Source organism: Homo sapiens, chromosome 6 (assembly GCF_000001405.40).
Source record: "Homo sapiens chromosome 6, GRCh38.p14 Primary Assembly".
Classification (NCBI taxonomy): Eukaryota; Metazoa; Chordata; class Mammalia; order Primates; family Hominidae; genus Homo; species Homo sapiens.
In genome coordinates, this window is record NC_000006.12 from 48,524,229 (window position 1) to 48,552,187 (window position 27,959).

Here is a 27,959-nt window from a genome sequence, read left to right on the forward strand (position 1 = left end):
GCAGATGTAATTGTTGGCGAATATTTATTAGTGACTAGCAACACCTCATTATTCCCAAGAGAGCTCTGGCAGGCAGAGAGCAGGCAGTACCTTAGGAGTTACTGGGAGTGCAGTCATCATAGCAGAGCCAATGACGTAAAGCAGTACCTTGAAGACACAGAGATATCAGAGATTGCAAAGTTGATCAAGGAAAGAAAGAACTGAACACCCTGGAAACTGAATGTGGGCCAAGGGATAGATCACAACACTGCTGTTCGAGTCAGTCTCTCTTCTAGCATCAACCATAGAGCTTCAGTGCAGACTAAAATCTTGGGCTGAAATCCTCCCAAAGCCTGCATGTGGAAATGTAAGTGAGAGGTAAGAAGGTTTCATCGTAACAGCCTAGCTGGGGGAAATGATTCATATTTATTCTTTTTTAAAAAAATAGATCTTTAGCAATTACAGACTGTCCATGTTGAGCATTCATATTTACTAATGTATTTACTACACACGTTCACTAATTATGTGACATTTGAAAAGTTACTTAACATTACTCCTTATGTAAAATGAGGATTCTAATATGGCACTAGTAAGTACTCAGCTCAAATACATTTTGTGAGAAGTGAACTTGTATAGCTATTTGTTTTGGTTATTGAACACAGGGTAACAAATTACCCCTAAAAGTTATGGCTTAAATGGAACATTTATTTTTTCATAAATCTGCCATTTGTGCAGGGATAGATCCTCTCCAGCCCACTCAGCATCAGCTGGGTGGCTGCAAGGCAGGGGACAAGAATACTTTGATGTCTCTTTCTTTCATACTTCTGTCAGTGAATGCAAGGTGTCAGTTGAGACCTTAGCCAAAAGATCCACATGTGGCCTTTCCATGTGGCCTGAGCTTCCTGAAAACATGAAGAATGAGATCTAAGGATAAGTGTCCCAAAAGCAAGAACAATCCAGGTAGAAGTGATATCACCTTTTCTCACAGTTCAGAAGTCACAGCATTACACCCACTGCATTCTATTCATTGAGGCAGTCATAAAGTCCAGTCCAATTTCAAAGACAGTAGAAAGAGTCTCTACTCTTGATGGAAAGGTGGCAAATTTCTGGAAGAGCATGTGAAAACTGGAATACTGTTGTGGCCATTTTTTGAAAATACTATGTGCCACAATTATATATGAGGTACTTTTTTAGGCAATAAGAAGTATATAAAAATTTATAAGTTCTTAAGGGTAGTTTCTGCCAGCTAATAAATAAATGCTAGTTGTTATTAACATTTTTAGCATTATCATTTTCACATAGAAAACTTTAGTGTTGATGAACAAGTATATTCCCTGCCTGCCCATAGACTTTAAAATAACATTAACAAATGAAATCAGCTTATAGTCATGTACAACTTTACAGCTGAGGTTAAAAACCTCTTTGCGTATGAAGTTAAAGGCCTTTGATGTTTTCGTATGGAATGTTTTAACGGATTCAATAAAAGTTGATTGATACCCTATTATACGGATAATTATACCATTGAGGTTTACCTATATGTATAGGATCTTAAATTTCTCCTCTCCAACGTATACATTTATTTAAACCTCCCAGAATTCCAACACAAATATTATTAGGAAATAGAAACTACATGAAGTAACTTACTATCTGCCACTAGAATTTGTATTTCAGTGAGAAAAAAACTATATGATGTGCCCACTATCCTAACACCAAAACTCAGCACTTAGAGGATAACAGACATTGCATAACTACTTGTTTTTGCTGATGCCTCACCTCCAGTTAGTAGCAGGCTTAGAGACGTGGTTCTGGAGGTTAATGGATTTATGAACTTGATCCTGTGCTAGCTTCGTATCAGAGTCATCCAGATAAAAGAAGTCAAAGGATGGCTTAGTGTGTCTTTAAGAATGCCTGAGGCATAGTACTGAACAAATACCTGAACAAGAAATGACTGAAAATAAGCCTTTAATATATGTGTCTTTGAAGTTATATTAACTAGTTTCTACATATTTTTCCTGACTAACTGGTAGGCATCCAGTTGTAGCTGGAAGTTAAGAAATCATAAAAATAAAACAAAAAAATCTGAAAAAGCAAAAGAGAATTTTATGTGTGTGTCATATCCTACAGTACATTCAATCTATGTAAGCCTTGTCTTTGGTATGTAAATCTGCATCTCCAACCTAGATTATGATGCTGTAAATATATATCTTGCCATTTCAGGTACTATGTCCTATTGTGAGGCTCATTTATGTCCAGTTCCAACTGAATCTTCAAATCAAGCTCTTTCTACTGCCTCTGCAGGAAACACAGATAGAACACTTCCTTTCTTGTTCTTCTCCAGTCACTTTTAAATCTAAAGCTAGAAGTCAATTCATGATGCATCATTTATCCCCTTATTCATTCTAGGAAGGAGTTCAGAAATAATAGTAAGAAGTGGTTTATAGCTGAATATTGCTATATAACAGAATCTTGCTGTAAGCTTAGAAAGTCTTAAAATAATATCTTGAGTGAGAAAAAATATCAATTTCAAATTACTGAAATCTCCCACTTAACAAAAATTTTATCCCGATTCTCTAACCTGGCTTTCTCAGAAGAGTACAAAAACCTTTCTACTCTATAGATGGTATGTCTGATACCTTCCGGCAATACATCCATTCAGGTTATCCACTCCACTGTCATGGTCTTTATTCACCTCTTTCTCCAGTTAAGGTGTAAAACTGATTGAATTAGGAAACTGTCATTTACTCAGACGAAGTGCCTCTCTTTAAACTCACCAGCAGAGCCCAATTCTCAAGGACTATAGATCCTCCCTCTCACTCCCCCAAAAAGATTCCTTATAATTCACCAGACTTTGCTCTAGATCCTGAACTCCAACATAAATAGTAATATAACTCTCCCAACTTTTTTTTTCCAAGTTTATCTTAACTAGATGTAGCCATTTTGAATTTGTATATAAATTCTAGAATGTTGTCAATTTTGATAAAAAGTGTATACTGGAATTCTGATTGTGATTTATTTGAGTCTATTGTGAAATTTTATAATTTTAAATATAGAATTATGAAACATAATTGAAAGAAACATAGAATACATTTCTTTTATTAAATTTGTTTCTAGATGTTCTTAGAAGCTGTGATAAATGCTACCATTTTAAAAATTTGCTTTCCTGGTGATTGTTGCTAGACAATTTCTATGAAAATAAAATTGATTTCCACAGTGGTCTCGTACCCAGTGAGTTGGCTAAATTCATTTATTGTTTTTAGTACTTTGTGATTATTTAGCATACTGTTCATACACAATAATGTCAACTATATATAATGATGACAGTTTGACTTTTTTCTCAAACCTTATAACTTTTTTTTTTCTTATCTTATTGATCTGGCTAAGACTTGCAGTATGAAGTGAAATGGAAGTCATGATAGCAGACATCTTTGCCTCATTTCTGATATTTGAGGGAATTATGTCAAAATTTCTGTATTAACTGTGACGTTTACTTAGGTATTTTGCAGATACTCTGAATTGAGCAAGTTTCCTTCCATTTGTTGCTAGTTTAAAGTTTTGATTATGAATTTAGGTTGAATTTTATCAAGCTTTGTTTATGCATCTATAAAGATTATAATATTATTTTTATTCTTTCCTCTAAATATGGATGTAATACATTGATTAATTTTCAACCTGACCCTTCTGGAGCAAACTCAAATATGTTTTCTATTACTCTTTTACATCACATTTGATATCTTTATTATCTTTCTGTGTAGAATTTTTATATTTGTTTTTAAAAGAGTGTCCTGTAACTTCCCTTTTTAAAACTATCTTTGAAAAGACTTAGTTTTTTTTTTTTAATTTAAAAAAAGGTCATTTCAGGTTACTTTCATACAATACATTGAGAAACATTCTTACTTTTTCTACCTTCCGGAAACATTTTTCTATGATTAACCTTATTTCTACTAAAACTATTTAAAATAATTCGTTGGTAAAGCCACCTGGGTTTGGAGTTATTAATATTTCTGTAGATATTGGTTATACAGATCTTCTATTTCTTCTTGTTATGTTTTTCAAGATTCATGCCAATTGAAAAAAATTTAATTTTTTGTCACAAAGATTTTAGACTACCTTTTTTTTCTTTTTAATTCTGTGAGATCTGGAGTATGTTATCTTTTATTTTTATAATATTTCCTTCTTCACTCTTTCTCTGTTTCTTTCCTCTCTCCCACCCATCTTGTCAAGGTTGTATTCAGCTTATTAAGCTCTTTAATATTAATATTTGTTATTATTGATTATGGTGTGTATTTGATTTCTAACATTCATTTCTGTTTTGGATTTATTGTTTTCTCATTTTTATTTGGTATGTTTAATTTCTTATTAATGGTTTTCTAGTTTTTAAATGTTTACTTAGATCATTGATTTTTCACCTTTATTATTTTCTTAGGCAGGTATTTAAGGATATACATTATCTCGTAAATACAATTTTGGTTACATTCTAAAGGTATAGAGATGTTATATTTTCACAATATATCACTTCAAATATTTTCTAATTTCCACTGTGACATCTTATTTTACTCATGAAGTATGAGTTATTTATAAGCACATTTTAAAAATATCCTTACATATGGGAATTTTTAAAATTTATATAATTATTATAATTTTGTTGCTTAAACTGTTGTCAGAAATCATTCTCTAAATAATTGTCACTTTTAGTTTGTGATACATTTGCACTTTTAAAATGACCATTCTATAGTTGTTGAATATTGCTCTATATATGTCATTAGAATAAATATGTTTTCTAATTTTACTTAGATCTTCTGTATTGTTTTTGTTTACTATATGCTATTGAAAACTTTGTGCTAAATTTTTTATGATTGAAGATTTGTCTATTTCTCTTTAAATGCCATTTTTCTTTATATATTTTGAAATAATATTATAAAATAGGTTATAAAATTTCAAATTTTTCAAAAGTTTATTTACATTGGATAGGAAATTGCTTATATTGTCTCTTATAATCCTTGCTTATAGTCAGTTATTTTGGTTATTGTATAATTACTTTTGCTTTCTTGGGTTAACTTTTGTATTTATATTTTTTCATCAATTTACTATCAAACATTCTACAACTTTATATTTAAGTTTTGTGCCTTTTAAGTTACTTATAGTTTCTTTTGGTCCTGTAATGCATCCTTTACATCTACTTTGGGTATTCAGTACAATTTACTGTCACTACTATTACTATTTCCAACACATTAAATATATCCATATTACTATTTGCTTTTATTAATAGTACCTGTTTCATCTTCAGTTGTGTAAATATTTTATTATTTTCCTTCTAGTACTTCAATAGTTTTACATTATTTACTAGTTTTTAGTGGATATCCTGGATTTGACAACATGTATTTTTCACTCATTAAATTCTAATATAAATTAATTCATTTAGCATTATCTAGACAAAGCTTTGACCTTAATATACTTTTGTGTTATTGATTACGTGTATTTTAATAATTCATATAATTTATGTGCCTTGAAACACATTTTTATTGTTTTATAAAGTCTACAGTAATTTTCCTTATCTTATTTAGGGCTATGTATTAGTTCCTAAATTTCTTTGTTTCTGCCTACAAATTACTTCTTCCTGGAGAACTTCCTAACTAATGCTCTTAATATAATTATTCTGCCAATCAAATCTCTGAGCTTTTGTTTGCCATATATTATGTTTATATTGCCTTTATTGTAGAGGAAGCTCTGTGAGAATAGAATAAAAAGTTAGCAGTTATTTTGGCAGTTTAAAAATCATATTTCATTGTTTTTAGCTTCCATTATTTTCTATTGTCAATTGTTTTCCTTATTTTTTCTTTTATGATTAAAAAGTCTTTTTTTGCTAGTCACTTTCAATATTTTATTTTTATATTTTACTTTCTGAAGTTTTACTATGTGTTGTGCCTAGTTTTTCTTTGCAGTGATTCATGACTAGGTGGATAAGCTTTTCCTCATTTTCAGAAAATACTTTCCACCTTCTTTTAAACATTGCTTTTACTCTCTCTTTCCTTCCCTTTGGGACTTCAAACACACACACACACACACACACACAAAACACTCTTTACCTCTACCCTTTCTAACTAGACATTTTCAATTGTCCTGTAATTTAGTTCCAATCTCTTCTTCTGCTACATCCGTTCTGTGGTTAATTCTATTTCATTTAGAATCTTATCGTTTCTTTTTTTAGCAATGAGTAGGCAGAAATTCATATTTAGACCATAAAATTTTTCCAACTTCACAGAAACAGCATTCTGCCATAGCTATATTCAATTCACAATACTGAACAGAATATTTACTATTTCACTCTAATGAATATGCATTTGGCTTTTTTTTCATGGTATTAGAATACTGATCAAAAGCATAGGCTAATGAACTAAGTGAATAACTAAATAAATGTACTTAAAAATTAGATCTTTCCAGAACAAAAGAAAGTATGCTTTGATGTCTAAATTTATTTCTCACCCAGGAAAGTAGAAACTTTCAAAATGTTCATTTTGGTCTAGCCTTAAAATCTTGCCCTTTAAAAGCAGACACCTTGTCTCCTTAGATGATGATGATATTTCTGTGACCCTTTCTGTCATATTTCTTCAAATAATTGAAATTGAAGATTTCCTAGAGGAGCTGAGAATGTATTTCAGGAGTTATATCTTTTAGCAGCTTGTTAATAATTCCCATTAGTGTTTTAAATTAATCTTTTATAAGATGTCAAGACAACAGGAAGGGGAATATCACACTCTGGGGACTGTTGTGGGGTCAGGGGAGCGGGGAGGGATAGCATTGGGAGATATACCTAATGCTAGATGACGAGTTAGTGGGTGCAGCGCACCAGCATGGCACATGTATACATATGTAACTAACCTGCACAATGTGCACATGTACCCTGAAACTTAAAGTATAATAAAAATAAATAAATAAATAAATAAATAAATAAATAAATAAAAATGCCCTAAATTATCAGGTCTGACAAAAAAAAAAGATGTCAAGACAAATAGAAAATAAATTTAAATAGAGAAATATTTTATTCTCCCTAATCATACAGAAGTCTATATACTCTGAATGTGAATATATACTCCCCATCACTTCATTATGCTTTATGTACCTTCATGAAGAGAAGAGTGTCAGTCACCTGTATTTTTTCTTAATTTTAGAATTAAATTTTAGAAAATAAATATGAGAAAGAGGCTGCAGCCTTAAAGATACAAACAAAAGATATTCTAAGGCAAATATAGCACCTTACAATTTGACTAAACATAGAAAGAAAAACATTGAAAAAATATTAAATCCTAAGAAGACAAAAATCAGACTTTATGAATTAGTATTTATTTTGGTAACATAGAGCTAATTGAGTTGATCATTTTAATTTTGAATATTTTAAAAAATAAATTGAGAGGTGATCACAATAATTCTCAAGATAACACAAACGAAATAATTTTTTTTTAATAAATGCAGTTGTATAACATATAGTACTCAATTTCAACTGCTGGGACATCCTATGTCTTGGGTAGTGCTTTCATCTAAGGGTAATGGATGAGGAGATTTCTCCTACTACGTAGGAATCGGTGAGATAGCTGTGGGCAAGTTCAGGTAGAGTTAAGTTGGGGTACTAAGAATCACTAACAGAAAACTGGTTAGACTTGACATCAATGCTAAATACTCGTTTATTTATTGAAAAATATTTATTTAATGCCTACTGTGCGCCAACACTTTTGTTTATAAATAATGCTGTGCATCAGAATTACAGAAATAACTCAGGGAGTTTTTTGGGGGTTGTGATAGTAATAGTTTAGGTTGTGTTTTTTGTTTGATTGTTTTTAAAAATGTGTGCAGATTCTGTCCTCCAGAGGCCAGACCTAAGATAGTTCCCTTGGCTACATATTAGAAAAAGTTCTACAAATGATTTCAAGGTCTACATTTGGTTTGACACCATTACTTCAGTAAATTAGGTATAATAGGGCATACTAGGAAATATAAAAACAACATAAAGTCAGATTATTCTAAGTATTCCAAATGTATCAGTTCTTGCAAGGTTGGTGTTAAACAAGTAAAAGTGTCAAGAATGTTGTTTAAATAATAAGTTTAATCTAATGTTCAAATAAGGATGCTCTGTGAAATGTTACATAATACATGCTTCAGAAAACCAAGCCTATCGGAGCAAATCTAATGGTCTAGCCACAATTACCCTTTGGTAAATGCTTTTCTTTTACGTGTTTTAGAGTCCAGGGGGAAAAAATGTCTCAGGTTATTTGGGCTAAAACGTAAATAACTGCAAATGGCAGCAATAGTGGGCCAATTGAAATTTTCAAAAGTTATTAATGTCAAAAATATTTGTTGCCAATTATCTCTAGATGAGGAAAAAATATAGTTCTTTCTTGATCTACTTTGGCCATCAGGATTCAAGGTCACAACGCAGAAACAGTCTGTGTGCTTTAACTTTTAATAATGGCACAGATAAACCAAAGTTATCTTTGTATTTTCTCTTTTGAGCTTGCAAGTATCTGAAAACTTACTTAAAAGATGGTTCTTGGAAGTAAAACATATGCATTTTGATGAATGCCACTTCCAAGCTTTGCCACACAATACAAGTCACTCAAACTATTGACATGGTGTGTTTCAATTTACAAAACAAAGGTAATAACATTTGTCTTACATAAGTCACAGAGAGTATATAGAACCAAACAAATATTATAAATAAAAGTTATTTTTAAACTGCAATTGTATTAACACAAATATACAATTTTAAGAAAATTCTGTTATGCCAATGTTATTGCATTACAAAGTCAAAAGGGATTTCAAAATTCACCTGGTATATGGAGTTCTGTGCCCAGATCAGAACAGTTGTCCCCATATGAGAAGACAATTTCAATTTAACAAAAGTAGATACTCATTTCATATGATTTAATCATTTCCACATTTTTCCCCAATTTTTATTACTTAATTGCTTTTGAGCAGTAGTCTTCTTCCATTCTCTATATTTTAGAGCAGTGGAAAAATATAGACAAAGATAGGTCAAATGACATTTTGGAAATAAACTTAATTAGAATGAGAGACAAGAGCTTTCAATGGGAGTTGCTATCTCATAATCCAGATATTTGGGTTGGATTTATTAAACTTTGAGAAAAGAAAAATAAGAAAAAACACAATTGATGATAGCTGGCCTAATTCCAAAACTATAAGGACTATCTCTTCTAGACAAAAGATCTTCTATCTATTAACATATTAACATTTTTTGAGATTTTTAATTTGAATGCAAACTTTACTTTTTTTTATCAAACAAGATTAAGTCAAGGAAGCGGATTCAGTAGGATTATTGATAGCATTAAGAGATTTATTATAGTAAATAGACATTACATGGTTCTGGGAAGAGATGAGGATGTAAAATCCCCAGAATTCCAGAGAGCTGGAAAATCAAAGAGAAGGTCACATTAACCAGCCTGACTGAAGCACTGGCTTGGGTAGGCAGTTGAAGCTTGCAGGGAAATGCTGTGAAGCTAATGACTTTCAGCCTCCAAAGTAAGCCCGTGACTGGGAAACTTGGGGAGAGGTCTATGGGAAGCTATTACCTCTATGTAGCTACAGCTTCTGTGGGTCTGTTGCCAAGCCTTAGCAGGAGGCTGCCATTTGTCAAGCATACACTAGAAAAAAATAAAGCCAATAACAAAGTCTGACTGGTTTGGCCAGTAAAAATACAAGGAACCTCTTTCAGAACCTCTTTTATTACTTACATAGACTGTGAAAAGAAGAATAACCCAAATCCCTTGTCCTTAGACACCTACAAGAATGGCACCAAAACCAAGAAGCCAGAGGACTGCAATGGATGTTGTGGGATATATCACTGCTAAGGAGCCAATTCTAGCCTGCAGCTAAGAGGTTTTAGTCTACAGCTCTATTCTGAGAGGTTAGGGCAAAAATTCCATTCCTCAACCCGGGAGGTGATGAGAAACTGTCTCATGACAGCCTCCCCGAGAGAATAAGGGGGAGGTTGGGAGACTGATCTCCGAATTGCTTCTTACTAAGTTACCATCCTTTCATGTTCTAGCAGGATCACAAAGTATTCTGTCAAAATTCAGGAAAGCTGTGGGTCAAGCCTTTCCTTGATGTTTTTTTATAACTTCATAGAGTGCGCTACACAAATTGCTTACCTGTTCCAACTCTCCTGGGTCCTAAGGAGAGGTATCTGCAGTAAAAGACTGCAAGTCCTGCTGTCTCTGAAATCTCTACAAGAAGTGAGAGATAATGGAAACCTTACCTACCTGGTGAAGCTTTGAAAAAATAAAGAAGGATGGTATTCCGGAAAGCCAACCTGAAGAGATGAAGAGGGAGAGTGGTGAATGTTAGGAGCAGCTGGAGGGTATGTATTTGCCTTAAACTTAGTCCCTGGAGACTTTCTGAACTAATTTGGAGGAAAGTTAGCACTTAAAAAGCCCTCCTTGATTGTGATGATTGAAGTAAGAAGAGTAATAGTGATTTATTGCTATGATTTTGTGTCTTCTGTATCCTCAGATTCATATAATTTGGGAATTATGCATGTAGTTCTTTTCTAAAAGAATAAATTAGGATTTAGAAGTGTTAAACATGGAAGGTGGCTCTTGAAAGCTTACGTAGAATTTTTTATTCAATATTTACATTATCCATGTAAATTTATGATTATTAATGAGAGGATAAAAGTAAAGAGCATGGTCATGTGTGCCAAAGTTGGGCATACACAGGTACCACATGTAAATGTGTGTTTGTAATGTAAGTAGGTCTATCATATCCATTTACTTTGAAAAACAGGCTGAGTAGATTAAACAAGCATAAAGTTTAGTGTTCAAACCAAATAATTTCCTTAAAGTTAATTATCCTGAATTTTAACACAGCTCCACTTTGAAAGAATTTTGGGCATTAGCAAATGGATTTTTTAGTAATAGCTTTAGAGCCTCCTAAGAAGATGTACAACCACTTCTACTTTATACTGGTCTTATTTACTAAAATCATCAGCATTCCTTATACTGAATATACAAAGCACAATGCCCATACCATATACAGATGTTCCTCAACTTATAAAAGTTTGATTTAAGATTTTTTGACTTTAAAATAGTATAAAGCAGTAGGCATTCAGTAGAACAACTATTCTGTTTTTCACTTTCAGTATAGAATTCAATAAATTACATAAGATATTCAACTTTTTGTTTTAATAACCTTTATGTTAGATGATTTTGCCCAACTATAAGATAATATAAGTGTTCTGAGTATATTTAAGGTAGGATAGGCTAAGCTATGATGTTTTGTAGGTTAGGTATATTAAATGTATTTCAATTTACATTGTTGTCAATTTACAATAGGTTTACCAGGATGTAGTGTCATAGTAAGTCAAGGAGCATCTGTACTAAAATAGAACTCTGACCTGCAACCCCCAGCAACCAGCTAGGGAAGCTAAACCACAATGAGGAGCTAAACCACAATCTGCAGCAACCGGTTCAGGAAGCCAAACCACAATCTGCATAGCAAATGCCCACAAATGGTCAGAACTTAATCAGTAACTGACAGCTTCCCTAATTCCCACATCCTAAGCCCTTAACCACCTTTACTTTCCTATTTAGGACCAATCAAAGAAAGCCAGTTATCCTAGACTAACAAATCACCTAGGGTGTCCCACTGCTAGTTAGCCTGTCTCTAGCTTCCACATGCCAACAGTCTCCAATCAGGGAATACCTGAAGCTTTCCCTTTCAATAACTATAAAGCTTTCACATTCCTTTGCCTGCCTTTGAGTCCCTGCCAAACCAAGTGATAATGACTGACTCCCTGGCTGTAACAAGCTCTGAATAAACAGCCATTACTTATTGTCATTTGATTGGTCTTCATTTATTTCCACAGTGCTTAAATATACTTATTTAGTATGGATAGTTTGAGTAATTCAAGACTATTGAATGACTTTGAAACAAAGAAACAAAAAATAGTGGGCTTAAAACCCTTATTTAGAGGTGAGTTGATTTTCTTCTCAAACATCTGAGAAGAATAATTATCAGCTACCATTGATCAAGAGGTAGGCATATTTTAAGCCCTGCGCTAGATGTGTCCTATGGTTCACCTCATTTGATCACATCAGCAGTTCTAAAGAATAGGTATTAAAGATGAAGAAATCAAAGAACCTAGAGGTTAAGTTTTCTGCCCAAAGCTAGCTAGGAGCTCATATGGTAGGGGAAGGAGGGGCTAAAATGAAACAAAATATATCACAAATATACATGTTGGAAGGATTTATTAAATCAATAATTTCTGTACTTTATAGTTAAGCTTATAAGTTTTGACAATAACATGGGTAAAAGGGCAAAGCTAATGGATAGCCTTAGATGATAAACATGGAATAAGGGAAGAATAGTTCTGACATGTGTAGTCATCAAAAAACTATAATCATTACATGTGTAATCATCAACAATTTAGCAAGTAAATTTAATGGGATGTTCTTTTCTCCCCTGGCACTCAGTTTACCAGTCTCAGGCAATGGTTTCCCAAATATACAAGCCTTCACACCAGGTCTGTAAAATCCCCAATACAGGAACCTCTTTGCTAATTATAGAGAGGGCATTAAAGAGACCAAGCTTCCAGTCCAGTGGTTCTCAACTTCTGTTGCCTAGGTTAAATTCTATATCCATTAAATAAGAATCTTTGAAAAAAAGATGGAAACAGCAATAATTTTAAAGCTTCAGAGGTATTAAAATGTGTGCTTAAGTTGAAAGCCACTCTTGATGAGGATTTCTTCAATTGTGAACTATAGACATTTTAGGACAGTTAATTCTTTGTTGGGTGTTGGGTGCTGTGTTATACATTGCAGAATGTTTAGCAGTATTCTTGACCTCTACACATTAGTGGTCAGTATCATCCACACCTTCCCACTGTTAATAACCAAAAATGTGTTCAGATATTACCAAATGTCTTCTGGGGAGCAAAATAGCCTCTCATTGAGAACCACTCTTCTAGACCAAGGTCTGCTATAGGATCTCAAACATCATCCTATTGAGTGGTTCTCATACTCAGCATGTATCAACATCACCAGGAAGGGTTGCTCAAACTCAGATTGCTAGATTCTACACTGAAAGTGGATTTAATGTGCCTGGGAAAAGGCTCAATACTTTGATAGTATATTAAATTAGTTGTCATATTTAAAACCTATGTTTATCTGCTTTGTTCCCAACCTCAAAATTCCAATATAGCCAAGTTTCACACCCTTACCTAGCTATTTCAGAAAGTCTCCAAGTCATGTTTAAAAGTGCCCACAGAAGTTATTTCTTCTCTTCCTACGTTGGTGGCTGAGGTGATATCCCATGTCACCTTATCCTTTGTATATGATGCCCTCCTCTGCTTCACTTTCACTATAGATGACTACTTGTCCAGCATTAGTAGTTATTATAAGAATAGGGAAGGTTTCCCTCACCCCAGCCACACTACAGCCAGTTACATAGGCCAACAGTTGCAAATACCTTGTGAGCACTTAGTTTTACTACCTTATTTTCCTATGGCTGTAACAGGGCTCCCTGAAAAATAGAGTAGGACAGAGAACATTATAATCATTGCATACTGCACAGAATTTTGTCCTGAAGCTCACCCATGCTTTTTGGATAAAGCTGCTACTCCAAATTCTTTCCCTTTCTGTAATGTACACACAATCATTCTTGCGAGACTCCTCATTTCTCAGAAACCTGTAAGATCATCTCTATAACCCTCTGAATTTCGTTTAATATGTGAAATTTGGTTCTCAAGTTGATCAAGATAGCAGGGAAAAGAGAAAAATGAGTAGGAAGGTAAAGCCAACTTTTTTACAACTTGCTATGGTTTAGCTGTGTCCCCATCCAAATCTCATCTTAAATTCCCATGTGTTGTGGGAGGGATCTGGTGTGAGGTAATTGAATCATGGGGATGCACAGTGCTGAGGGTAAGACTTAGCCCTTTAAAAACTCAAACAAATTTACAAGAAAAAACAACCCCATCAACTAGTGGGCGAAGTATATGAACAGACACTTCTCAAAAGAAGACATTTATGCAGCCAACAGACGCATGAAAAAATGCTCATCATCACTGGCCATCAGAGAAATGCAAATCAAAACTACAATGAGATACCATCTCACACCAGTTAGAATGGCGATCATTAAAAAGTCAGGAAACAACAGGTGCTGGAGAGGACGTGGAGAAATAGGAACAATTTTACATTGTCGGTGGGATTGTAAACTGGTTCAACCATTGCGGAAGACAGTGTGGTGATTCCTCAAGGATCTAGAACTAGAAATACCATTTGACCCAGCCATCCCATTACTGGGTATATACCCAAAGGATTATAAATCATGCTGCTATAAAGACACATGCACATGTATGTTTATTGCAGCACTATTCACAATAGCAAAGACCTGGAACCAACCCAAATGTCCAGCAATGATAGACTGGATTACGAAAATGTGGCACATATACACCATGGAATACTATGCAGCCGTAAAAAATAATGAGTTCATGTCCTTTGTAGGGACATGGATGAAGCTGGAAACCATCATTCTCAGCAAACTATCACAAGGACAAAAAACCAAACACCACATGTTCTCACTCATAGGTGGGAATTGAACAATGAGAACACTTGGACACAGGAAGGGGGACATCACTCACCGGGGCCTGTTGTGGGGTGGGGGGAGGGGGGAGGGTTATCTTTTAGGAGATATACCTAATGTAAATCACCAGTTAATGGGTGCAGCACACCAACATGGCACATGTATACATATGTAACAAACCTGCACATTGTGCACATGTACCCTAGAACTTAAAGTATATATATAAAAAAAAGACTTAGCCCTTTAAGTTAAGACTTAATCCTTTCTTGATTCCCACTATTGGATTTTCACATGGGAAGAAAGAAGCCAGATACTTTCCTAGCAGAAAAGCATTCTGTGTTTTTCCCCCATCAAAAATGAGTAAAGTATTACCCATACTTAACACAGTGCCAATGTTTCTTTGCAGATAAGGATTTCTCTAGGGAGAATTTGCACCACTCTGCAAAGACGCTAATGAGGCAGACCAAGAGCTGACAGACTTATGCCAGGTAAGGTACTTTCTTCCCAGGTGGAGGCTGACTTTTTAGTTTTAATGTACTATCTTCTCTTTTTTCTGTTTATTGTTAACCATGCAGGTGTTCACAGACTTATTCCATTTAAACTTACTTTAAATTTTGAATAGAATTATTTAGAGCTTCTAACTCCCCAAATTTCTCTTTTCTTTAACCTTGTTTTTAAGAAGGCCTTCCCCCCCCCCCCCCTCTAATTTTCTACTGAACTGACTTCTTGGTTCATGCAGTGGATAGTAAGCCTTTGGGAGTATAAAAATTGAAAGCCTGCTCCTGGCTGACCTAGTGAAGCAAACATTTAATAAATATCACCTCACTAATAGGGACATGTACTTGAAAGAGAAACTGACATTTGTCTTCTCCTTGAAACTAAACAGCTTGGCGTTAGCATATATGGAAGAGTCCCCTTTGGGGAGCTTATTTTTCTCCACAGTCAACATAGTGGGATGGGAAAGTATATAAAATCTTAATAAGTAACATTCCTTAGGCACTTAAAGGCCATAGCACAGTGTGCTAACTTCCTTACGTGTGTTGTTTTATTTAATCCTTACCTGAATGCATGGAATTATGAGTTACTTTTGCTGTTCTCACATTTTATAGCTGAGAAACTGAGCCTCATGTAACTTATTCAGCTTTGCAATATACATACTTGGAAGACTTGTAGCAAACAGATGTACAGAGGTTCTTAAACTTGGGCTCATGGACTTCCATTGAATAAAATAACAGTTCAATCAATGACTTTAGTTTGCAATCCTATATCTATAATTGAATGCATTTATACACATTTATATTAGTTGAAAAGATGACCACAGGCTTCATCAGACTGCCATAGTGGTCCATGGCATCCAAGTTCAGAATTGTTCATGGCGATCTAATTTCCATCAGTATCTCTCCTGAGAGATATCATCTCCTCATCTTGTGAAATCCTTTGTCTTCTTCAACATCTCTGTGTTATTTCTTCAGATTGGGGACAATGGTCTTCTCTAAAGTGGGCTTTCTGTACCATTTTTAAGACAGGTAGTATTTACAAATCAATATGGTTTTTATGTGTGATATCAACAGCCTCTTAAAGTCCTCATACAATACACATAGCAACATATATTCAATTGCAAATAGCATTGATTCCATTTTATGTTGAAGTATACAAGTTTAAAGCATTTCATATACTTTTATTATTCAGGCTTCCAAGAATGGGAACCTTACAGCTATTATCTTTTTAGTATCTCGTCATCGATTACTGGAAGATGATACTATGTTACAATGGATCAAAAAGCTTTTGAAAGTTTTTATTCAAAGCCGGGCACTGTGGCTTACACCTGTAATCCTAGCACTTTGGAAGGCCCAGGCGGGAGGATTGTCTGAGCTCAGGAGTTCGAGACCAGCCTGGGCAACACAGTGAAACCCCGTCTCTACTAAAACACACACAAAAAAATTAGCTGGGCATGGTGGCATGCGCCTGTAGTCCCAGCTACTCAGGAGGCTGAGGCGGGAGAATTGTTTGAATCCAGGAGGTGGAGGTTGCAGTAAGCCAAGATCGCACCACTGTACTCTAGCCTGGTGACAGAGTGAGACTGTCAAAAAAAAAAAAAGTTATTTATATGTGGAACAAAAATATTTCAATCAGAAAATCACCTCTGTTTCTCTATATAGAAATTTGCTCATCCTTCCATTAACTTTTATAACTACTTATCTGCATTTTGTTCAGCAGTTTATCTCTTACTAATTTGTACTATAGTTACTTGAGTAAATCTTATCCCTCTGAGGGTCTGGTCATCATTATGTCTTCTAGTTCCTAGGGTAGAGTCTGGCACACTGTAAAAATCCAGGGAATTTTTGTTCATAAACGACAAGTATTTCTCTACACCCAGTAGACCCTAAGAGCCATAACAACTCTGTTTATGCTCTTAGCACAGATTGATTCCAAAGAGAGATGGAGAGAGAGAGAGACAGAGACAGAAAGACAGACAGAGAGATAGAGAGAGAGGTCTTATTCAAATGAAAAGTAATCATGTAAAGGAAATTTTAGGAAATGAAAGAAGTAAGTAACTCCCTCATTGGTAATTCTAATTATATTTGGCTTCTTATTAAGTCTTTTTTCCTAAGATTCTTATTATTCCGAGATGCCATTTTAATCTATTTAAACAAAGAAATTTGTTGAATTTCTACTGAGGAAAATATATTATACCAAGCTTCATAAGGGGTAAAAAAATTCAAGGAGCTTAAAGCCTAAAACCAAAGGTATACATTTACAACTGTAAATGTATTGGTAATCACTCATCCAGTAAATAATCCAGTCAACTCATACAGGTTCTTAGCAGGGTTACTAAGGATGTTACTTACAGTTTTGCAGGTTGTCTACTGTGAAATTTTAGGACAATTCAAGTCATTATAGATTTATGTATTTATTATGACAATTTTCTAGCAGATAGCTAAAAAATGATTTTTGAGCAAGAAGCACCTTTAACAATCTTGCTCACAAATCTTTTAAATTGACAGTTCTGACATACTGAAATACAAAGCAGATCTAATCTCTGCTGTTATGCATCTTACATTCTAAGTGAGATGAGTCAGATGATAAACAAACAAACAAAACCCAAGAAAGTACAGGCATACCTCAGAGCAATTTCAGTTCCAAACCAGGACAATAAAGTAAGTCACAGGAATTTTGTTTTCCCAGTGCATATAAAAATCATGTGTACACTATACTATAGTCTATTAAGTGTTCAATAGTATTACACTTTTTAAAAAATACACATCTTAATTAAAAATACCTTATTACTATAAAATGCTAACGATCAGCGGAGGCTTCAGTAAGTTGTAATGTTTTTGCTGATGGAGGGTCTTCCCTCAATGTTGATGGCTACTGACTGATCAGAGTGGTTGTTGTTGAAGGTTGGGATGGCTGTGGGAATTTCTTAAAATAAGATACCAATAAAGTTTGCTGCATTGATTGACTCTTCCATTCAGAAAATATTTTTCCGTAGAGCTAAGTGTGATGGCTCATGCCTGCATTCCCATGTACTTGAAAGGCTAAAGCAGGATGATTCTTTGAGGCCAGGAGTTAGATCAACTTGCGCAACATAGCAGGCCCTATCTCTAAAAATATGTTTTTAATTAGCCTGGATTTGTGGCAAGTGCCTATATTTCCAAATACTCAAAAGGCTGAGGCAGGAGGATCCCTGGAGATTAGGAGTTCTAGGCTGCAATGAGCTGTGATGACACCACTGCACTCCATCCTGGGCCATAGAGTGAGACTTTCTTTCCAAAAATAAAAATAAAAAAGAAAGAAAAGTTTTCTTTGTAGCATGTGGTGCTGTGTGATAGCATTTAACTCACAGTAGAACATCTTTCAAAATTAGAATCTCTTCTATCAGACTCTACCACTGCTTTATCAATTAAAATTTATTTAAGTATGAATTTTAATTTTTTTAGAGACAGGGTTTTATTCTGCTTCTACTTCAGCCTGGGATTATAGGCATGAGCCAGTGAGTCCAGCCTATCAATTAAGTTTATGTAATATCCTAAATCTTTTGTTATATTTTCAACAATGTTCATAGCATCTTTACCAGGAGTAGACTCTATCTTAAAAAACACTTTCTTTGCTCATTCATAAGAAGCAGTTCTTCATTTGTTCAAGTTTCATTGTAAGATTGCAGCAATTGGCTAGGTGCAGTGGCTCACGCCTGTAATCCCAGCACTTTGGGAGGCCGAGGCAGGTGGATCACGAGGTCAGGAGATCGAGACCATCCTGGCTAACACGATGAAACCCCGTCTCTACTAAAAATACAAAAAATTAGCCGGGCGAGGTGGTGGGCGCCTGTAGTCCCAGCTACTTGGGAGGCTGAGGCAGGAGAATGGCGTGAACCCCCGGGGGGCGGAGCCTGCAATGAGCCGAGATCGCGCCACTGCACTCCAGCCTGGACGACAGTGAGACTCCGTCTAAAAAAAAAAAAAAAAAGATTTCAGCAATTTAGTCAAAAATAATCTTAAGCATCCATTTTTAATTCTAGTTCTTTTTCTATTTCTACCACATCTTCAGTGACTTTCTCCATTGAACTCTTGAACCCCCTCAAAGTCACCCATGAGAGTTAAAATCAATTTCCTTCAAACTCCTGTTTATATTGATATATCGACTTCTTCCCATGAATCGTGAATGTTCTTAATGGCATCTAGAATTTGAAATCCTTTCCAGAAAGTTTTTAATATACTTTTCCCAGATACATGAGAAGAATCACTATCTACGACAACTATAGCCTTATAAAAGGTATTTCTTAAATCATACAACTTGAAAGTCAAAATTACTCCTTGACACATGATCAGCAGAATGGCTGTTGTGTTAGCAGGCATGAAAACAACATTCACCTCCTTGTACATCTTCATCAGAGCTCTTGGGTGAACAGGTATATTGTTAATAAGCAGTGATATTTTAAAAGGACTATTTTTTTCTCAGCAGTAGGTCTCAACAGTGGGCTTAAAATATTCAGTAAACCATGCTGTAAACAGATGTGCTGTTGTCAAGGCTTTGTTCTTCAATTTATATGGCACAGGCATAATAGATTTAGCATCAGTGTTAAGAGCCATATAAATTTGGGATGGTCAATAATCATTGGCTTCAACTTAAAGTCACCAATTACATTAGCCCCTAATAAAAGTAAGTTTGTCTTTTGAAGCTTTGAAGCCAGGTATTGACTTTTCCTGCCTAGTTGTAAAAGCTGTTAGGTGGCATCTTTTTCTAAAAAAAAAAAAAAAAAAGGGTGTTTTATCTCCATTGTATATCTATTGTCTAGTGTAACCACCTTCATCCATCATCTTAGTCTAATCTTCTGGATAACTTGCTGTAGCTTCTACATCAACACTTGCTTCACTTTGCACTTTCATGTTGTACACATGGCTTCTTTCCTTAAACCTCACAAACAAACCTCTGGTAGCCTCAAACTTTTCTTCTACAGCTTCCTCAACTGCCTCAGCCTTTGTATAAATGAAGAGAGTTAGGGTCTTGCTCTGGATTAGGCTTTGGCTTAAGGAAAGGTTGTGGCTGGCTTGATCTTCTATGCAGACCACTCAAACGTCCTGTAAATCAGCAAAAGTCTGTTTTGTGTGTGTGTGTGTGTGTGTGTGTCTCTGTGTGTGTGTGTTCACTGGAATAGCACTTTTATTTTCCTTCAAGAACATTCCCTTTGCTTTCATGACTTAACTAACCATTTGGTGTAAGAGGCCTTGCTTTCAGTATATCTTGGATTGGGACATTCCTTCCTCACTAACCATAGTTATCTCTAGCTTTCAAATTAAAATGAGAGGCCAATAACCCTTCCATCCACATGAATACCTCGAGTCCATTGTAAGGTTATTAATTGGCCTAATTTCAATATTGATGTGTCTCAAGGACTAGGGAGGCCCAAGGAGAAGGAAAGAAACAAAATAATGACTGGTCAGTGTAGCAGTCAGAACACATACAACATTCATCAATTAAATTCACTGTCATATGGGTATGGTTTTTGGTGCCCAAAATTAATTATAATAGTAATTGTAATTCATCAAAGAACCCTGATGACAGATAACCATAACCAGATATGACAATAATGAAAAAGTTTGAAATATTGTGAGAGTTACCAAAATGTAACACAGAGACTCAAAGTGAGCACCAGCTGTTGGAAAAATGGTGCTGAGAGACTTACTCTACGCAGGGTTGCCACAAATCATCAATTTTTTAAAAACACAATCTCTGTGAAATGCAATAAAACAAAGTGCAATAAAACAGGGTATGCATGTATGCCAGATGGTGATAAGTATTATGGAGTAAAATAAACAGTGTCAGAGGATAGAGAGTAATGGAGGAGAATGTCTTACTCTATTAAATTCAGTGATGAGGAAGGGCCTCTCCGATAGGAAAGGATGGTGCCCTTCTAGCATAGATCTAGTTGGTGAGAAGGACAATGCACGCAGATATCTGAGAGGAGAGAGTTCCATTTAGAGAGCAGAATACACAACAACTCAGAAGTTTGCATTTGCGATGCCTAGTAATTGGAATATAAAAATGATAACAGATCACTAAGAAGGAGGAAGAAATCAATTCCATCACATGCTTCGTAACATTTCTTCACCCCTCAATTTTCCCAGTCATCCTCAATTTTCACTGTTGGATAACCTTTTTAAAAAGATAATAGCTTCTGAATGGCTTCTATGGAGTTAAATCTCATAAAGTATAATATATTAAGCTACTCATTACTAATTAAACATTTTATCTTTTATCAAATATTTATTAAGGCCATCTTAAAACCAAAAAGTTGTTTTGAAAATTTTAGGTTTTATTTCAGTGACAGACCTGAAATGCAAATATTGATTTTCAGCTATTTGTCAAATAAAAGTACTGTATTCAGCTGGACATGGCACAAGCCTATGAGTGGTCAAGGAAGCTTATATTCCTGAAAGAAATAGCCATAATGAATAAATACTAGTACTTCAGGCCTGTTACCTGTTAACACTCTCCAAATAAATAATAACTCAGGTCTTCAATTCTAATGAAAGACCAACACTCTTAAAGAAGAGAAATTCAGGCTCTATTGCCAAACTTAAAATGAATCATTGCTTTATTTTCACCTGAAGAAATACCAGAATTCTATGATTTTGGAGTATCAGCTTATTAAGAACTTTTTTAAACATTGCACCTGGGAAAGTGTCAGATTGCTTCTTGCAACGTGTTCAACAGACGGTGAGGAACTGAAGCCATCAGTCCAACAACTCATGAAGAACTGAATTCTACCAAGAGCCACTTAGGCTTGAAAGTAGATCTCTTCCTTTTTAAGTTTAAAGATTACTACAGCCCAGATGGCAGCTTGATTATAGCCTGTGGGAAACTCTGAAGTAGAGGCTCCAGTTAATTGTACCCAGATTACTGACCAATATTAACTGTGAGATAATAAACATGTTTTGTTTAACCTGCTAAAATCCATAGTTATATATTATGCAGCAATAGATAACAAATACAAATCATCCACCCCTACAGAGGAATTAGTCTCAACCTGACATCACCAAATGGAGTGAAGCTAGTATTTGTTTTAACAAAGATTTCCAAATAGATCATCACTTTAGATATCTGGATACTACAATTTCTCACTAAATCAAATATTTAAAGCCAAAGTGAAAAACGTGACAGATTGAATACATCTTTGATCAGGGATATTTCAGTGTTGTTGCCTCCAACACAGAGGACTTAATACATGATGTTGCCATTTTGTATATCAACATTGTATTTGCTCTTTTTTAACTTAGAAACCAGGCTGAGGAAGAAAAGAGTCAAATATATGGCATTTTATACATTCTAAGCATCTACAAGTTCCTACTGATAGGGTTTGGAGAACTGTTGAATAAATTTTACAATAAGCACACAGATATGTAATTGAGGTCTATTTTATTTTCATTCTGTTCTATACCATAATGGCTCAAGGCAGATAGCAGAAGACAAACTTTGGCCAACTAGTAAATTACTGGTTGACTCTAAAAATATTAGGCTCTCCTGAGCCTGAATCCTTGCTATTGGTTTCTGCTTCGTTTGCTATGTCAGCAAGGGTAAAAACAGAAAGCAAGAAAACGAATTCTCCCATGCATGTCAAAGGATTGTTTATTCAACAGAACTGGAGGCTATCAAGGTAGTCTGATGTTGAAGTGACAGAAAAAGTGACTTCCTATGTGACACAAATCAGAGAAGGAGTCAGAGAAGTCCCTTGCCTATCTAGCACTTGCTTTGTTCATCTTTTTATTATGAGAGGTTATTTTTAAATCTTGAATCCTTTTTAAACATCCCCTATTAAAATGGATATGTACTTGGGAGGAGTCACTGTAATTTTTTATCAATAAAAATTGAAGTATTAAAAAAACAGGAATGGTATTAGATAGTCTTTTGGGACCAACCATTAGAAGCAGCAGGCACATAAATATCTACTGTAGTTCATGGCCAAGGGAAAGGGACTGTTTCTATGGTTTAGATGCGGTTTGTCTCCCACCAAAACTCATGTTGAAATTTAATTCCCAATGTGATAGTGTTGGGAGGTGGAATCTATGGTATTTGGATTATGGGGGAATCATCCTCATGAATAGACTAATGTCAGCTTGAGAAAGTCAGTGAGTTTTTGCTCTCTTGAAAATGGACTAGTTCTCTCAAGAGAAAAAAACCTAGACTCTCCTGCGTCTCTCTTTGCTGGTTTTCCTTTCTGGTTTCTGCACTGAGTTGAAGCAGAATGAAAGCCCTTGCCAGAAGCCTAGCAGACGCCAGTGCCATTCTCTAGGACTTCCCAGCCACTGGAATCATAAGCTAAATAAACTTTTTTAAAAAACAATTACCCAGTCCCAGTTATTCTGTTATAGCAACACAAAATGGACTAAGACAGATGTCATCAACAATAAAAGCACAAAAGTGTAATGAGATCTGGTAACTTAAAATTCTGCTGATATGAATTTTGCAGCTACATCCCATCTTAAGCCTACATTCACATTAAATTCACATTTGAATACCCATGAATTATCCTTTATGGTTGGCTCATTGCTGCAAATCCATTTGCTTCTCAAAAGTAGAACTGGAGAGTTCCTTAGAGAAATGTGACAAATGGAAAACACTGAAACATCGATTGTTGTATCCAGAGTCAGATCCTGTAGACTCAGTAAAATTTCTATAAGAAAAAAGGCACATTGACCCACTTCCAGGTTCTCCATTCTCAAATTTATGGGGAGCAAAAAACTTTGTTGAGTACTGATGCTTATGGCTGGTAAGTGACTTGAGGCTATAAAATACAAAATGCTAAGTTTGAATGTGTTCCAATTAACTACGAAGCAAGTTCATACCATCATTTTCCAACCTCTCAGAGTATCTATAACATTAGTTGGATGAATCATGATTTCTATAATCCAAATGGTTATTACCAACTGGTACTCTATTAAAAATTTCCACTGAGTAAGATAACCTATTGCATGTGACTATATCTATAAATGGACTCTTAAGGATCTGATTTTGACTGATTTGCTGAGTTAAATGGCACAATATTTTCACTTTTCAGAATCATTAGTCAAGTCATAATTTATTTGGGGCATAGGAAATAAAGTCTAGATCAGGATTCAGAAATTCTGTCTTTGCCTTGAGGCTTGTCTACCATGTATATAGCCAGCCTTCTAGGAACTTCAATCCATTCAGGAAGTCATTACCTTCTTTATGAAAGGAGCTTTAGTAAAAAATAATTATGTATCTTTTTATGAGAATTTTTTTAAAGTAAAGCTATCTTAATGAAAACACTATACTGTGTAGTTAGGAGAGATAGTATTTGATTTAAAATATGTCAAATTTATTTTTTTGTTTGAGGCTCTCTGCTAACTTGGTGTCGGGGGCAGGTAGGAAATAATCTCCCCTGAGAATCTGTAGCCATAAGCTGGCACATAAGTTTCTGGAGTGCATTAATGTTACCCATGAAATACAAAATGATGTCAAATAGAGAATTTAATTTGGTCTGCATTCATGCTGTCCTCAAAATCCGAAATAGGTCTTAAATGTAGGGTTTATCTTAACACTATCTCAGATTACTTTTGATTGTTGGTAACTAGGAGAGACAATACAAGAAAAAAAAAGCTTAAAAACATAACCAGGAATGAGAGTCTAAAGAATCAATGTGTAACAATAAACATTAATAAAACCTATAGAATTAACCAGCTTAAAAAGTCTGCTTTTAAAGAGGGGTACATATCAGTCACCAGACATAGAACCAAAATAAACCTGTAGTGCAATGGTAAAAGGACACTTTTTTCAATAAATGTTGCTGGAACAATCAACTATCCATCTAGAAAAAATATATACCTGGATTCTTTCCAGATATTATAACAAAACACAACTTCAGGTGTTTAGTAGATCTAAATGTAAAAGGCAGAACGATAAAACTTCAACCAAGGAGAATATATAAATTGTATTAAAATTGTAAAAGACTTTGAAGCAAGATACAAAAGCTTCGTATTTTATTTTAAAAGTCTTGTATTGATAATGAAAAGAGATTGACAAATTACATTATAATTTAAAACTTTTATTCTCAAAAGATGCTATTATAAGAGTGAAGAGGCATGCTGGGGTAGAAGGTGTCCACAACACATATATCCAGCAAAGGACTTGTATACGAACTATATGAAGAATTCCTATAAACAAAAAAGGAAAATACAGTACTAAACCATTTTTAAAATGAGCTAAAAATTCTAGCAGGTATTTTAAAGTAGAGTATATCCAAATAGTTTACTAGTATGGAAAGATGTTCAATGTTTTTTGTCATTAAGGAAATGCAAATTAAATCTACAATGAGATTCTATTATAGATTCATTATGATAGCTAAGATTATAAAGACTTATCAAACCAGTGTGTAAGGGTGTGGAAGGTATTAAAATCTCATACACTGTGAGTGGACATGTGAACTTGTACTTCTGAAAAGTGTTTGGCAGTACCTTCTAAAGCTGAATATGCACATACAACATGATCCAGAAATTTATCCAACATAAATTTGTACATGTTGCTATCAAATATCACAAATATCAAATGTCATGTACAGAAATGTTTGCAGGAGCATTATTTGTAATAATAATTAAAAATAAGAAAAACTGGAAAGAACCCAAATGTTCTTTCATAGTAAAATTGATAAATTAATTGTGGTACATTATCCAATGAACTAAATTAAATAATGAGAAATAGTGAGTTACTACTACATACAAAAACATAGATAGAACTCAAAAATGCAATATATGACAGGCTAAGCTAAGCCCATTGAGTACATACAATATGATTTCAGTCATACAACTTACAAAAAAGGACAAAGAATAATTTCAAAATTAAATATAATATAATAGTTACCCTTTGAGGGCCGTTTCTGGCTTAACTTTAGGGAAGTTTCCGTTCTATTTCTTGATCAGGGTGTTGATTTTAAGGGATTATTCAATCTGTGACAATGTGTTGGGCTATGAACTTAGATCTATATGTTTTGGGAGTGCAAAATATGTTTAAGTAAAAGTTTACTCAAAATTATAATACGTACATAAAAATCCCTTCTAATCACTTCATTCACATCCATCTAATTAATTCTTCCAAATCTGCCAGGTTTCCTTTTAGCTATTTCAACTTAAATAGCTAGATGATCGATGGCCCAATGTACAACTGTTTGGGCAGCCTTGCTTAGAGCAGGACATGAACTGAACAGCATGATATCTGATGTCCTTAACCTCTGCTAACTCTAAGGGTTCAAAGTTTCTTACTCTGATTATCACATTGTTATAATTTCCTTCACCTTACAACCCCTAAATGCATACCTTACCAATGGGTTTTTTACAAGCATTTTCATTTGGAAAATAAATTTCTGCACATATCTTCACAAACCACTAAAAGAATATTAATTTAATCTCCATTTATAAACAAGAAGGCTGAGATTCAGCATAATCAAATAGCCTCTTTAAGACCATTCAGCTGACACATGGTAGATTATTTTTCGCTTACTCATGGAAATTTTGTAAAAATTCTTAACTCACATCCTCATATCCCCATCACGTTTCCTTAGTTGGACAGAAAATTCTTCAAAGCGGAGACCATATTTTTTTCCTTAGTGTCCCTCAACAATGTGTTACATAGCTGTCAGCATGCAGTAGGTAATTAATAAATGATTCTTGAGAAATGGCAACATTCTTCAGTCTTGTCAGTATTTGGGCATCTAAAAGCACATCATTCTGAGCAAAGACCTGAATGACTAAATCATCACCTCAATTCGATAAGATATCTCATGAGCATTGTCTTCTTTGTGACATAAGCCTTTATTTAACTAATTAAAAAAGCCAGCCTATGAAGAAAGAATAGATGATATGTTATCAGGCATTAGGATAAGTAGACTAATCTTTCTTTGCATTAATGTCACTAATTACTCTCATAGGAAAAGTGCCAACATGTGTTTTTTAGTGACTAACCATGATTTTAAAATATCTGCACTTTATAAAGTGCTTGCACGAAACATCCAAGACAATTATCATGTAAATGGGCTCAAAGGAAAATCAGATACAGCAATTCACCAAGAATCTGTGTCCTTATCTAATCAGATTAATCGTCTTTCAATATGATGCTGTAAAAGACGCAAACTGAGCAAGGGCAGAGCTGGTCAGCATTTAAATGAGATTTTTCCAAAGGCAAATTCAAGGACCCAAAATACTCTGAGAAGGAACGCCAGTATTTTCATTACTGAATCATTTTCCTCTTGAGCATAAGGAGACTTCCAAGTGCCCTGAAAGTTATTGTACTTAAAGATGCTTTTTTAAAGGTAAAATGTAAAAGGAACAATGCAGACATGTTGGTCATTAAATTTCATGTGGTGTTTTTTCTGAAGGGTATGAAGTTAAAGGCTCATTATCATTAACATAAATATAGTTCATCTTACCCTAAGACCAAGCAATTACAGATGTCATTTTAGAAAATTCATAACACTCTTTTATAATTCTAAGACATGATCAAAGTAAATATCCGTTCAGACTATTCCAGATCCTTGTCTTCAAAGTATCACAATTCACTCACACTTCAACCATCTGGGAGTACATAATGGACCTCTATTATTACAAGCAGTTTAGTTTTTTTCTTGAATTACAGCAACTGGAAAATTTAAAATATTCTCCTAATATACAGATTATTCTAGAATTGGCATAGCTTCTGATTCCTCCTTTCACCATCTCACCCCTTAGAGAAAAATGGTTACACTTTGCTAGAAGCACTTCCAAGTAATAATAGAACTTAAGAGAATCTTTCAGGCAAAGCTTTGGTAACTAGTTCAGGTATGCTTATCTAGATTTCTCCTATAATAGATGGCAATGTAGAAAAGAACATTACGACAACTAGAAAGA

At 34.5% G+C, this 27,959-nt stretch overlaps 1 long non-coding RNA gene across 5 annotated transcripts in view; it reads left to right on the forward strand.

Annotated features, from left to right (window-relative positions):
• The first annotated feature begins 205 nt into the window (after positions 1–205).
• The window catches only part of LOC107986602 (uncharacterized), a 74,122-nt gene continuing 46,368 nt past the window's right edge, over positions 206–27,959 (forward strand). Inside the window, exons 1-3 of one of the 5 annotated variants that reach the window (XR_001744151.1) lie at positions 206–357; positions 10,114–10,345; positions 14,972–15,053. This is a non-coding gene — a long non-coding RNA (uncharacterized LOC107986602). The remainder of the gene's footprint in view (positions 358–10,113; positions 10,346–14,971; positions 15,054–27,959) is intronic. The other 4 variants (XR_001744155.1, XR_001744154.1, XR_001744152.1 and 1 more) reach the window with 4 other exon arrangements.